Genomic DNA, 14248 nt, shown 5'->3' with positions numbered 1-14248 from the left:
GGGAGTTTTTTTTTTGATGGGATTTCTTTTAAGGATAACTGACTTCCATTCCACCACAGCGGGTCCCTGTCCACTGTGGGGAGGAGCGCCTTGATTTCCACCCCGGGCAGGGCTGCCTCCAGGAACTGCAGCAGCCACCTGCTCTGGCCCTCCACTCCCCAGGACATGGGTTACATTAAAGCGTATCTGTTGGAATGATACAGAACCAAAGTACAGTAATTAAATTGCATACAGAGACACACCCATAAAGAAGTTTTTTGTTTTGTTTTTTGAAACAGAGTCTCACTCTGTCACCTGGGAGTGCAGTGGCACGATCTTGGCTCACTGCAACCTCCGCCTTCTAGGTTCAAGAGATTCTCCTGCCTCAGCCTCCCGAGTAGCTGGGTTTACAGGTGCCTGCCACCACACCTGGCTGATTTTTGTATTTTTAGTAGAGACCGGATTTTGCCATGTTGGCCAGGCTGGTCTTGAACTCCTGACTTCAGGTGATCCACCCACCTCAGCCTTCCAAAGTGCCCATATGGAGATTTTTAAGGTCAGAGGTATAAACTGTACATACTCACTCCCTGGGAGAAATTCCTTGCTGGACTCTGGTTTTCTTTGAATTGCAGAGTAAACAGCTAGGCTTTGTGAATTACAGAGTAAGTAGTTTATTTACCCCTGAGGAGGGAAGAGGCAGCTTATTTGTGCTAGTGTAGCAGTGAGCTTGGGTTCTAAGTTTGAAGACATCACTTCACGCTTCACTGGGGCTCAGTTTTTCTCCTTTATGAAATTCGAGGTTTGGGCCTCGGGGCAAGTCACAGGGTGGGGCTGTGTTTGCTGCAGTGAGTCTCACGTCCCGCTTCAGCATCAGGGTACCAGCACTGTTCATCCCCCAGGTAAACTCCTCTAGTAACTTCAGGGCAACCCCTTTAGACTTACGGGGTGAGCTCTTGCGGGTGGCTGTCACCATCTGTCATCTGTCTCCAAGACCATAGTTAGAGGAGGGGCCCAATAGCAGCACCCCTCAAATGCCAGCAGCATCCCTCAAATGCCAACAGCACCCCTCAAATGCCAACAGCACCCCTCAAATGCCAACAGCACCCCTCAGATGCCAACAGCACCCCTCAAATGCGCTTTCCTAGATGTTACAGAGGACCATGTGTGAACCTTTTCTGGCAGGAAGCTCTGGTGTTCTTGTTTAGTCTGGCATTGCCAGAGAGTAGGCAGCTCTGAAGGGTAGATAGTTTTTAAAAAAAAAAAAAAAAGGCGGCCCACTACACTAAAGGATAATCATCAAGGATAGCCAAGAGCACAGTTCATAAATCAAAATCACTGCCTTAAAAATGTTGAGAATGCTTTCATTAAGTGCTTAAATTGGATAACAGACTTGTGCCTCAATGCTCAATCAGAAATAATAAAATTCTCTTACAGTGACTATCTTAATGTTCTTTTGTGTCTTCTCTTTGTTGCTGTCTGGCCCATATCTCCTGTACATTCCCCGCAATCCCCTTGTTTTCCTTCGTGCACTAACCTTCGCCTCTCTGCCTGTCTTCTTGCTTCCAGGGCTGGGTCTTCTTGATCTCTTTATTCCCGGGGTGGCACAAAATACTCAATAAGCACTCCAGAGTTTCCCCAGGGCCTCTTCTCACCCCTCACTGCCCCCATAGCAAACCGGGCCCACACCTTCCTCAACTCTGAGCTCTCTGTACTGTGCGCAGGGATGCAGGTGGTCCTCTTGGCCGGTTCAGGCAGCAGACTGGTGGAAACACTAATGAAGTTTGTTGAGTGTCACAATGTGCTGACACACTTCTAAGCGCTTGGCACGTTTAACTCATGAAATCACCAGTCATCTTAACATTGAGATACCGAGGACAGTGCCGTTTAAAAACCTGACCCAGAGCCGGGTGTCGTGGCTCACGCCTATAATCCCAGCACTTTGGGAGACCCAGGTGGGGAGAGCACCTGAGCTCAGGAGTTCAAGACTAGCCTGGCCAACATGGTGAAACCCCGTCTCTACCAAAAATACAAAATTAGTCGGGTGTGCTGGTGGGTGCCTGTAATCTCAGCTACTCTGTAGGCTGAGGCAGGAAAATCGCTTGAACCTGGGAGGCAGAGGTTGTGGTGAGCCAGGATCACACCACTGGACTCCAGCCTGGGCAAGAAGAGCGAATATTTCGTCTAAAAAAAAAAAACCTGACCCAATTGTTTGGAGTGTCTGTTGCCAACTCCCCTGAGCTAGTGACCTAGTGGGAGCGGCCGGAAAGGCTGTTGCCTTTTGGAACTTCAGCAGCCCGACAGACGACTCCATCACTGGCCAGGTGCCTCCTCCCAAGGTGGGAGACGAATGAGGCAGTTTGTAAAGGCTTCTGAAGAGTGTTAGAGAAAGGTGCTGTGCAAATACAGGTATTGTTATTTACAAGTGATGGATGGCACTGCATCATGTCCTGGCAAATGTGCTGTCGTCTGCAGTCCTCTGTAGAAGTAATCCAGCCTTAATGATTTGAGACCTTACCACTGCTCTTGACTACAAAATATTTGCAGAGAAATGGGGTGAGTGCTTGTTTGATGAGTTATTGCAAATGCAGATTAGCAGAGTTAGAATTAGCGAGATTCTTTCTGTTTCATCTAACAGCAGTCATAGCATTCCACAGCAGAAAAGAGGACCTAATTATAAGCCTCGCTATTACTCATTTCTGCCAGTCTTTGTGAGTCTGTGGCAGTGAGATGTGTAAAATCTCTTTGTTAAATACATTTTGCTGGCCCTGTTCCCCTCCATTTCCCAGTGGAGCCAAAACCATGTGTCAGTAGAGTTCTCATAAATCTGCTACATGATAGCTTTGAATGTTACTAATCTTACATGTGGTTTTCTTTGAAAAGCAGACTCTACATCCCCTCTCAAAGTGAATTAAATGGAAATATAAGCACGATTATATTTATTTCAAGCCATGTTACTTTTTTTAGTAACTTCAGAGTAACTTAGTTCTCTCTTACACTAATTGATACGTCAGACATGAGTTAAGGATGCCTTTCAAAAGTCTAGTGTAATTCTCCCTGAATTATCTCCCTGCAGAAAGACTTTCAGATTATCCATTGCTAGAAACAGAAGACTAATTTGTCTTCTATTAACCCTGTGGTCACAGATTTGCTAAGCATAGTCCCAGTGTCAACCAGTCAGGACCAGAAATTGAATGGTCCAGGTAAGAGGTCTGCCCTTGTTCCCAACATGCCAAGGAAAACAAGACCCTTTAGTTACTATCTTTTTTCAGAAGCCTTCTGTCAAGGTGGCCCATGGCATTTCACCTCTTCCCTAGCCTTTTTTTGTTGTTCTTGTCTAGACAGGGTCTCTCTCAGGCTTGAGTGCAGTGGCGTGATCTTGGCTCACTGCAACCTTGGCCTCCTGGGCTCAAGAGATCTTCTCGCCTCAGTGTGCTGAGTAGCTGGGACTACAGGTGTGCACCACCACAACCAGCTAATTTGTGTATTTTGTGTAGACACAAGGTTTTACTATGTTGTCCAGTCAGGTCTCAAACTCCTGGGCTCAAGCGACCTGCCCACCTTGGCCTCCCAAAGTGTTGGGACTCCAGGCATGAGCCACCGCACCCAGCCTTCCCTAGCCATTTTTGGTTATCTGTGACTTCTAACGTCTTTGTGAGTGTCCTTTTCATTTCGGCCAGTGCCCTGTGCATTCTTACTTGGTTTTGTGACTGCTTTTCCCTTCCCAGCTTCAGAAGTTTTTTTTGTTTCTATAGAGAATGTTCACTTTTGTATAAAGTACTATATTAGGTATAGAGAATGGTACTTCCTGTTGTAACAAACAACCTAAATTCTCAGTGGCCAAACTAATCCAGGTTTATTTCTCTCCTGGGTGGGGTCTTCTTAACAAAGAGCAATTCAGAGGCCCAGACACCCCTTGCTGTATAACACTAGCTTTTCATTGTGTGGCTGCTGCTGAGGGGACAAGTGTAGGTCGCCGTGCTGGGGTCCGTATGGTGTGGCCCACAAGTGGTATGCATCATCACATCAGTTTCCTATGGCTGCTGTACCAAATCACAATAAACTTAGTGGTTCTAAACAACACAGTTTTATTATGTTACAGTTCTAGAGGTGAGAAGTCCAAGATGGGTCTCACTGGGCTAAAATCAAAGTATCCACAGGGCAACTGGTTCCTTCTGGAGGATCGGGGAGAATCCCATTTTCTTGCCTTTTCCAGCTTCTAGAGGCTGCCCACTTTCCTTGGCTCGTGGCGCCTTCCTCCACAAGCCAAGGAAAGCTTCTTCAAAGGCAGCAATGACCAGTCACATCCTCACATCACACACTCAGAGCCCTGACTCTTCCGCCTCCCTCTTTCACATTCAGAGACCCTTGAGATTACATGGGCCCACCTGGGTAATCCAGAATAATCTCCTCACCTTCAGTCTATGATTCTAAGCACAGAATAGCAGTTTCCCTTCTTCTTCCTCAGCTTACAGTCAGCTGATGAGCAACCTTAATTCCATCTACAACCCTCATTTCCCCTGGCCGTGTAGCCCAGCACACTCACAGGTTCCAGAGTGGGGGGACGTGATGACATGATGCTGCCCACCAAAGTCACTTTTCCCCATACTATTGGGCAGGACCCAGTTTGATGCCCCCAATCCAACTACGGGGAAGCTGGGAGTGAGACTGGCAAACACCTGACTAGTCCTAGCCTCAACCAATTCCCAATGACAGCTTTTCCAAAGCACTTCCAGGCAGCCGATCCTACTTTCCCCTAAACTTTTTGAATCAGCCTCCCTGCACTCAAGGATATACATGTAGCTGCTCCATGTACCTCCCAGCTTGAAAGGGGCCCAGTCAGATGTCCGGCAAGGTGCCCATCCTGGCCCAGTCAGTACTCATTTTGTCCTTTGGGTCAGAAACTATGTCAAGGATGGAACACACACTGCTGTGGAAGATGGAGTGTTTGGCCCAGGGGGGTCCCACTATGTCTCTGAACTTCATTCTTTAACAGGGTTGCTCCGTGTAATTTAAGAGCCTTCTCACCTTCACAGTCTATGATTCTGAGCACAGAATAGCAGTATGAAGCCAACGAGAGTGCAAATTCAGGAAAGTATCTGGGGCTCCAGCTCATTTTTTAGCACAAACCATTACTTCTACCTTATCTATGCACACCTGAAAGCTCCTGTAAGGGCTCCACTTGGTCTGGGGGCAAGGTTCTCATTGGGGTCTTCTATAACTTATGTCTGTTATTGGGCCAGACTGTCAGTACCCACTCTCTGCATACGTTCTTACCGCCTCTCACCCCTTTATCCTCTCCACTTTTTAGGGTTCCCACCTTCAGGTGCATGGGCTTCCATAGATGTGAGTCTCCACTTGCCAGTGATTCTCCTCTCTCCTGGTGGAGTCATTTTTCTTAACTAAGATAGGCCATAGTCCCTTGCCCTGTTCGCATTGGGAAGTTCTACCCACCTAATCTCACCAGCCCCTTTGCTTACCTGCCACTACATTGCTCTACCTGAGATCCTTTGGTTTAATCATAACCTGCAGCACTGGTTGTTTTCTGTTTTGTTTTGTTCCTTCCACTGGAACAGTCCTCAGAACCTTTCGTCACTTCTTTTAGGTAGAAGAGCTTCCCTTTGAATAACATTTCCATAGCTCTTCTCAGGCAAGAACAAAGGTAGCATATACTTGTGAGTCATACTCCAGTACCTGCAGTGGATGCTTTTGGGACATTTGTGTGAGTTAACAGCCCTTCCTAGCTCCCTGCTGGAAATTGCTCCCTGGTTCATGGAACTCTTCCAGTATTTCCCCTTTCTTCTTCCCGCAGTAGCATTTTCTAGTTTGCTATTTGGCACTAGCAGATAGCAAGCCACCAGTGACTGCATCTTACAGCCAGGCATCCTGACACCTGAGGACGGATGCTTGGCCCAGGGTCCCACATAGTCATTTGCCTCCTTGGTGTTTGCTTACCTCCCAGATGTGACCGTAGGTAAAGCTTCCTCCACTCCCCTTCCCACTTGGGCAGGCAGCTGCTCTGTGGAGAGCTTTTCATTTCAAACTCACCTTCCCTTATCTAGGTAGTGTAATAACCTGGCCCTGTCTGTAGGCCGTTCCTTTGAGTTACTCTCAGAAGCCATGGTGCTCTGCTTCCTGGAAGGAATCTGATCAAGGAAAGGCTTACCTACGATTAAGGGTGGAACCCAGTTTGCCGCTTGCCAGCTGTGCGATTTGGGGCCGCTGGCTTCCCCTTCTCCCTGCCTCAGGATCTACTCCGTGGGGCTGCTGTGCAGTGAAAGATGCGTGGACTCCAAGTGGTTAGAGCGGTGCCTGCCACAGAGTGGTGATGAGGAGCAGAAGTTGGATCTGTGATTCTCCCAAAGCTTCCTCAGGTGGTGATGTAATGACGGAGGTCCTGGTGGTGGTCAGCACCACGATGGGCAGGTGCTTTACAGGGCATGGCCTTCATTCCCCAGCAACCCGTAGGGCAGCGCTCTTTAAGGAACTGCTGTGAAGAGAGGGTGAAGAGCTGGAAAAGCACCAACGATTTGAGGACTCCAGAGGCCTCTCTTGAGTACTAAATGCTAACTTAAAAACCCATTTAATAAGACTAGCTAACAGTTGAGCACATCCTGTGTGCCAGGTCCTGTTGGAGGCATTTCATGTGTCCTAACTCATGTAATCCTCAGCTGGCCCTGGGAGAGGGGAACATTTTCACTCTTTCTTCATAGGTGGCAGACCCTGAGGCACAGAGAGCTTCAGCAACTTGCCCACACACAGCCACACACACAAGCACATACGTATGCACACATGTGCACACACTTATGCACAGGCACATGCACACACACACACACACAGGCAGAACTGGGATTTGATCCCAAGGTTCTGGCTCCAGCATCTGTGTTCTTATCCTCTGCACAGCACTTCTGCTAAGAGGAAGCTTATTTTTTACATTTGAAGCTCTCATTTGAATAACAACCACCACGACAAAAATCTAAGGTTTTTCTGTTTCTCCTAAAAATACTGATTTGCAAATAATTCTGCAAAGATTTCTGCAAAAGTAATTCTTCTTTTGTAGTTTTACAAATGAAGAGTTCTAGAGACAGTGATACAACAATCACAATAAATATGTGCTGTCATATTTTTTGGCAGTATTGTAAGTTAAAATGAATCTGTCTCAGCTTTGAGTTATTATTGTTATTATTGCCACTTTTTATTGCTACATTAATCACCAAACATAACTGAGAGGGATTAATGAAGTTAATTGTTTTTAGAAACTAAATTAAATGCAAGTGCTAATGCTGGGTGACTGAGCCTTGACACTGTGTGCTTATTTCAGCAGAGGAGCGGACAGGCTGCCCTGCAGGAGCTTCAGAAGACTTGATCATTTCAAATGTCACCTTAACATTCATCATTAGTTTTCTTTATAGTTAGTTGCACAGCTCTTTTTATTTTTACTTTATGAACACATCTGTGAGTTACAGTTTAAAAGTTTTATGTGTGCCAAGTTGGAAAGATTCAGAGATCATTTTTAAATGGGCATCTGTATTGTTGGTTTGGCCTGCCTTAACAAAATACCACAGACTGGGTGGCTTAAACCATAGACATTTATTTCTCCCAGCTTGGGAGGCTGAAGTCCAAGATCAAGGTGTTGGCAGCTCTGCTTTCTCCTGAGACCTCTCTCCTGGGCTTGCAGATGGCACTTTCTTGCTGTTTCCTTGCAGGCCATTTCTTTGTGTGTGCACGACCCGGTGTCTCTTTCTCTTATAGAGACACCATTTCTATTATATTAGAGCCCTACCTCAATTCCTCATTTTAACTTAATTGTCTTTTAAGACCCTCTCTCCAAATACAATTACAATTTAAGGGTATGTCAGTTAGGACTTCAACCTATGAATTTTGGGGGGACACTATTCAGCCCGTAATAGCATCTTTCATCAATTTCTGATGAGCATGGGAAAGAGGTGGGATAGAGCAGGGAGGGAAATGAATTTTTAAAAAATATTTAGTGGGACAGTTCTTCTAAGCTCTTCCTTGAGCCCGAAACATTCATAACTCTGAGATCCTGTGTTTCAAGAGAGTGGAAAATGACCCTAAGGTGTAGGTAGATAATTGTATTTTCAGTCTCCATTTCTGATTGGGAGGCCAACTACGTAGGCTGGGAAATCTTTTTAATCTTAGATTAAAAAGCTGCCTGCAAATGGTAGGTCTTTTCTGTTTTGTCTTTGGCTTTTTGCTTTTTTAAAAGAATTTGACCTTGAAGTGAAAGGAATTCCTGGAAACCCAAAACGAAGAAGGAACTGAAATTCAGACCTTTAGCATGAGAGGTGGGCCCACAGGAGGCAGGGAGTAGCCAAGGTTGGATGCTCAGAGGCCACACCCCTGGGGAAAGGTGGAAGAGGGAAACCTGCCCAGTGGCCCTAGGAGGGCCAGGAAGCCGGACTGTGTCAGGCTGGGCTCCACATGGGGACAGAGGTCTCCTTGAGAATTTGTAAACAAAGGCTTGCTTTTACATGAGTTCAGTTCGTATTTGTACTGTTTGGCAATTTGTCTTCTGAGAAATCTGCCTTGAAAAGGATTTTCAGACACCTATACTCCTGGCCTGACAAAAACACGTGTAGCATCTCCCCAGAGGGTTGCTGTCTGCATCACAGGCCCCATGAGATCCTTACTGGTAAAGCCCAGTGAAGACAGATTCCTCCTCCAAGTCTCCCAGGACAAGAGCAAGAATCCACAGGCAAAAACAGACAGCAGGATTAGACTCCAGAGGACTTCAGAAAATCAAATAATTGGATATACAACTAAAATGATTAAATATATAAAGGAATTGAACGCACAAGAAAAGAATAAGACCCCATCAAATACCTGGTGAATTTGAGACAAAAGCTGTAGGAATGAAAAATAGAGTGATTAAAAATCAATTGATGGGATATAGAGCAGATTTTTGAGAGGATTACTGAACAGGATTCTGTTTCCTTCTGCCCCAAGTAGAATGTCCTCTCCGTTGAGAAGAGGTGCGGGCAGCAGGGAGATTTTAGTTCTAAACCCAAGCCAGAGGAAATAGTCGTCATTTTCCTTGCTCTCTTTTGCCCTTTTCTAACAGCCAGCTGCTGGGGCAGTGCTGGTCCTGGGAGCAAACGTCACCATCTCCCTCCAGTCGGGCTGGCCAAGTCTCCCAGGGAAATTGAAGACCAGTACACCTGAAGCATGTAAGCCCCAGGCTGCCTCTCCCATTCTCCTTCCCGTTCATCAGCAGCATAAAGAAAGTTGGCCTGGGTTTTCGTGACTCGGCAGGGTCCACTCAGTTTAAAATGCCAGAGGACATGGTGTGGCAAGTTGACTGTATCGTGATGTTAGCCGTCTTGTGGCAGAGACTCAGAGACTTGAAGGGTAAAGCTCAGTAAGGCCCACATCCAGAGCCTGGGGGGCCAATGACTACAAGGAAAATGACCCTGCTTTCTAGCCAGCACCCCACTCTCCCGAACGCCTCTCTCTTCTTAATAGTCTGAGGAGGTTTATCTCCTTTCTGCAGATGAAGCAGGGAATCTTTGAGAATCTGAGACACTAGTCTGAGACCACATAGCTGAGGGCGTGGAGGAACGTGCCGACCCCAAACACATGCTGGTGGCTACCATGCGAGGCTGGCTTTTTGGATTTAGGGCCAGCCAGCATTTCCAAATTCTGTTCATGGAACACTGTAGCCCTGATGGAGGATAACTGGTATTATAGCCAAAAAAAAAAAAAAAAAAAAAGTTGTGTGGTCAGATAGGCTGGGGAGAGCTGGCAAGCTGTATGCCTCCTGTAAGTCTTCCTCATGCAGGTAGCACACTAAGGGCCAAGAAGGTCTCTCTTGGGGAAACCTATTTAATTTTGTTCAACCTGGCATTTCCCACTCTTAATAGATGCTAGATTACCCGACCCCTTACAACACAGTATTAACATATTAGCCATAAAGGAATTGCACATCAAACCACAATAAGAGACCACTTCACACCCACTAGGATGGCTATAATTAAAAAGACACACAATAGTAAGTGTCGGGAACATGTGGAGAATTGGAACCCACACACTGGTGGGAATGTGAAATAGTGTGGAGGCTTTGGAAGACAGCTTGGTGGTTTTCAGAAGGATAAATTCAGAGGCACCATGTGGCCTGGCAGTTCCATTTCTCGGTATATACTCAAGGAAATGAAAACATATGTCCATACAAAAACTTACGTGTAAGTTCTTCACAGCTGCATTGTTCATAATAGCCAAAAAAGTAGAAACAACGCAAATGTCTAATTGATGAGTGGAGAGATACAATGTGATACATCCATGCAATAGAATATTTGACAAGAAGAGGAATGAGATACTTACACGTGCTGTAACATGGATGAACCTTGAAAACACGCTAAGTGCAAGGAGCCAGTCACCAAAGGCCACATAGTTTATAATTCCACTTATATCACATGTCCGAAATAAGCAAGTCCAGGTGACTGGCTTCCAGGAGCTGGGAGGGGTGGAATGGAGGGTAACTGTTCATGGCTGTGGGGTTTCTGTTTGGGGTGATGAAAATCTCCTAAAATTGATTATGGCAATGGTTGTACAATTCTGAATGCACTCAAAACCATCGAATTATACAGTTTAAATGAATGAATTGTATTCTACATGAATTACATATCTATAAAGCTGTTTTTTAAAACTAAGTTAACATCTGCCAGCGGTAGGGTTTCACAGCACAGTTTGGGCAAAGCTGCAGTAGAAGTTTTGTTGCCACTTGCCTGGGCTCTGTGAAGGCACAGTAGCTGTCCCATGTCACCCATCACCATATCACCCCATCAAAAACATCTTCGATATTTGAGAAAGTAAATTTCACAGGGGAGGGTTGAGGTGAGCTCTTGTGTTGAGACTGTGGAGAACTGAAAGCAGCAGCCACTCTCTTTGTGTAGTTTGTGCCCTCGTTACACTGCTGCTCTGACAAAATACTTGAAAGGTGACCAGATAGAAAAACAAGAGCCTTGGAAAGTTTCTGAGTGGATCTGTAGTAAGAGATTATGTTGAGTGCTGTATCATTTTGAATTTACCCCGACAACCCTGACCTTCCCTAGTTAATCATTTTCATTGCCAGATTCTCCAGACTGACTTGTGGCCACTGAGCAACCAGAACCTTTCCAGCTGGTCCCCCTGATCCACAGGCAGCCCCATTTCCACATTAATCCCACACTCTCTGTTTTCATTTCAGTGAAAGCTGGTGGAATGCGAATTGTGCAGAAACACCCACATACAGGAGACACCAAAGAAGAGAAAGACAAGGATGACCAGGAATGGGAAAGCCCCAGGTGGGATGATGCTAGCGACTCTTGAGCATGTTTTCCAAAAACCCTATTCGGTTAAGCATTAACATTTGTTCTCTGTTCTATGATTCTGATAACTCCTGGGCTATGTGGGGCCCTGTTCTGTGTATTTTTCCCTTCCTAATCAGGGAGGAGGGGGCTTTGTTTTCAGTCAGGGGAGAAAATAGAGCCCCTAGAGGTCCTCTTTCCTGAGCAGTTGCCACGCGCCCACCCTGTTCCCCACCCCACACCCAGGGGCTGGTGCCCCGTCTGTCTGCACAGTTAGAGACCTACCTCCACCTGCCCAGGTGCCTGGGTTTAGCCAGTGTGCCTCCCTTCCTGGAAGCCAGGGCAAGCCAAGCCAAGCAGGAGCAGCTTCCTGTGGCTCATTGGTTTTCTGATGGTGGACACAGCTGCCAGCCACCCTCTTCCCAAGGCTGGACCACCAGAGTGGACGAAGTAGGCAAATTCTTGCACCTGTGAGTCTTTTGTACTCCAGGTTTCTGTTGTCATTCCAGAGAAACAAATACTAACAATTTCTGGGCAGTAGTTTGCAACTTAGGCTTCCATACTGAAATCACATGGAGACCCTTGAGAATTGCCGCACTAGTTGAACCTCAGGGGTGGACCTGGCTGTCTGTGTAGCTGGGGCAAGAACTTCTGATTTCAGAATGGTTGAAGCATTTCCTCCCTCGGATCATCAGCCAGATCTAGAATTACAAGGCCATGCCCTTATGAGTGACTGGGTGTCCTTATATGATACCTCTGCTGCCAACCCTCCTGGGGCCTGCACAGGGGTCTCCTTGCAGACCCCTCCTCCCCTGCTCAACACCTATTTTCCTTAAAGGTTCAGATTTCCAGTTGGGTTCAGGGACCTTGAAAGGAATCCATTTCTCTCGACTTTGCAATACGCAAACAGGCACCACTAACACACCTCTGCGGGAGCTCGTCCACGTAGAAGAAAGCACTAAGCTCTCTACTTATACAGCCTGTCTCCAGATGATGTCTCAGTCAGAAGAGGAGAGGGTGTGGAAGGGGAAAGAGGCTGTGGAAAGAAGCTAACCTTGATTCCTGTGGATTAGGCCCATGCTTTTATTTCATTTCATTCCAGCAGTCCTGAATAGTAGGTGGTATTCTCCCCAGTTTATGTACAAGGAAACAGAACCCCAAAGAGGATATCAGCTTGCCCATATCATGCACCGTGCTAGGTAACGTAGCAGGAAGTTCAACCCAGTTCTCATGGAGTGCTCAGCGGGCTAGGCTTCCAAATGGATAGTTGCCAAGAGTAGGCACCCACATGAGGAAGTGGTGCATGTTCTTGGTAACCCTGCCTGTCTGCTTCTAAGTGGCCTTCCCCATTGAGTATTGTCTATAAAACCTGATACAGTATGAGTTACGGAGCGGCCACGTGAGGGAAGAACAGCATTTTGGGTGACATTTCTGAGTGATTATTAGTGATTATTGTCCATTTTAAATCATGAGATTAGCAGTGTAAAGATTCAGTCCCAGTTCTGGTTTAAAAGAAGGCAGTTTAAAGAAAATGCTAGAATTGTCCGGGCACGGTGTCTCACGCCAGTAATCCCAGCACTTTGGGAGGCCGAGGTGGGTGGATCACTTGAGGTCAGGGGTGCGAGACCAGCCTGGCCAACATGGGGAAACCCCGTCTCTACTAAAAACACAAAAATCAGTCAGGTGTGGTGGCATGTGCCTGTAATCCCAGCTACTCAGGAGGCTGAGGCAGGAGAACCCCCTGAACTCAGGAGGCGGAGGTTGCATTGAGCCAAGATCATGCCACTGCACTCCAGCCTGGGCAACAGAACAAAACTCTTGTCTCAAAAAAAAAAAAACAAAAAAAAAACGCTAGAATTATTTTTCTCACTTACTGTATTCACAAAGCTATGTTTGGAACGTAACAGCATCAGCAACTCTCCTGTAAGTTCACAATTGTATATCTGTAGGACTTGCGGCCCGACGTATTTTAGAATGGAGAAATTTGGGAGTCTAGGAGGATATTACTGCTTTTAGGAGAATAAAACCTTGCATATACCACATAGTACCCCCTAGGAGAATAAAACCTTGCATATACCACATAGTACCCCCAGTGGGGTCTCAGGCAGTATATTGTAATCTATATGTGATGTTCAAACCGAATTAGATAATTTTTTTAAATTTAGGGACTAGTGTCACTTCAGGTTAAGTTTTGCCTCCGTACAAGTTATGAGGAAGCCTTCCATTTTCTGAGCATTCTTGAGTTGGGAATCGAGGCTAAGAGTGTGTAAGCCTGTAGTAATTTCCCTCTAGGAAACCTGGGGTGTCATTGCCCTTCTTCATAACCATCTGTTTCCCCAAGGAAGAAAGAGGGCAAGAGATATCGCCTTGCCTGGAAAAAAAGTTCCTGGAAAGTTAATGAAACACTGCTTTTCTTGGTGAGTTTAAGTGGAATAAGGTACAGATAGCTAGTTCCCTACCTAACACAGTGTCAATACAATGAGAGATAGTAATTTATTAGCAAGTTTAGAAATAAGGACAGAACAGCCCACTAGTTTTCTTTCTGTTGATTTTTTTCATGAGTTGACATGCAGCTTTTCTAGAAGATGATCAATTTAAATAAATATGCCAGAGGATGAACAGTTGAAGAGGAAAGATCGAGCACCCCAGCGCTGTAGATTGTAGCATCTTATTTACCTTAAAGATTTGTTCTCTATCTCTAGAGAACCAGATATTTTGAAGCAGGCCGACTGCAGGGTATGGTTTGCAAAGCACATGAGCAAGGCTTTTGTTGTTGTTGTTCCCTGCAGCCAAATTGCTAGGATACATTCCTGATGAGTGTGTTAGCACTTGTCCTCTTGACTTTGGCTTGGCTGTTTACTGCTGTGGGTTAAACAACTCGACACAGCATTTACAGAACGGGGTAAGCCTGTGTACACTCTTTAGCTATTGATGTAAGTTGCCAAAACAGCTTTTTCTAACACACT

At 46.0% G+C, this 14248-nt stretch overlaps 1 protein-coding gene across 2 annotated transcripts in view, besides 2 other annotated features; it reads left to right on the top strand.

Moving 5' to 3' along the window:
* The window catches only part of DAP (death associated protein), an 82005-nt gene that overhangs the window by 1781 nt on the left and 65976 nt on the right, over positions 1-14248 (top strand). For both annotated transcript variants that reach the window (NM_001291963.2, NM_004394.3), the window contains exon 2: positions 11183-11279. In NM_001291963.2, coding sequence (NP_001278892.1) covers positions 11183-11279 — 97 coding nt within the window. The remainder of the gene's footprint in view (positions 1-11182; positions 11280-14248) is intronic.
* Positions 2411-2490: an enhancer, noted in NCBI's record as "active region_22382". NCBI's record gives its function as "activates an Ori minimal core promoter by ATAC-STARR-seq in GM12878 lymphoblastoid cells {active_cell/tissue: GM12878}" and the evidence as "EXISTENCE:reporter gene assay evidence [ECO:0000049][PMID:35858748]".
* Positions 2711-2800: a silencer, noted in NCBI's record as "silent region_15929". NCBI's record gives its function as "represses an Ori minimal core promoter by ATAC-STARR-seq in GM12878 lymphoblastoid cells {active_cell/tissue: GM12878}" and the evidence as "EXISTENCE:reporter gene assay evidence [ECO:0000049][PMID:35858748]".

The sequence above is a fragment of the Homo sapiens genome, chromosome 5, assembly GCF_000001405.40.
Source record: "Homo sapiens chromosome 5, GRCh38.p14 Primary Assembly".
Classification (NCBI taxonomy): Eukaryota; Metazoa; Chordata; class Mammalia; order Primates; family Hominidae; genus Homo; species Homo sapiens.
Note: the sequence above shows the minus strand (reverse complement) of the source record. Positions and strands in the feature narration are given on the sequence as shown.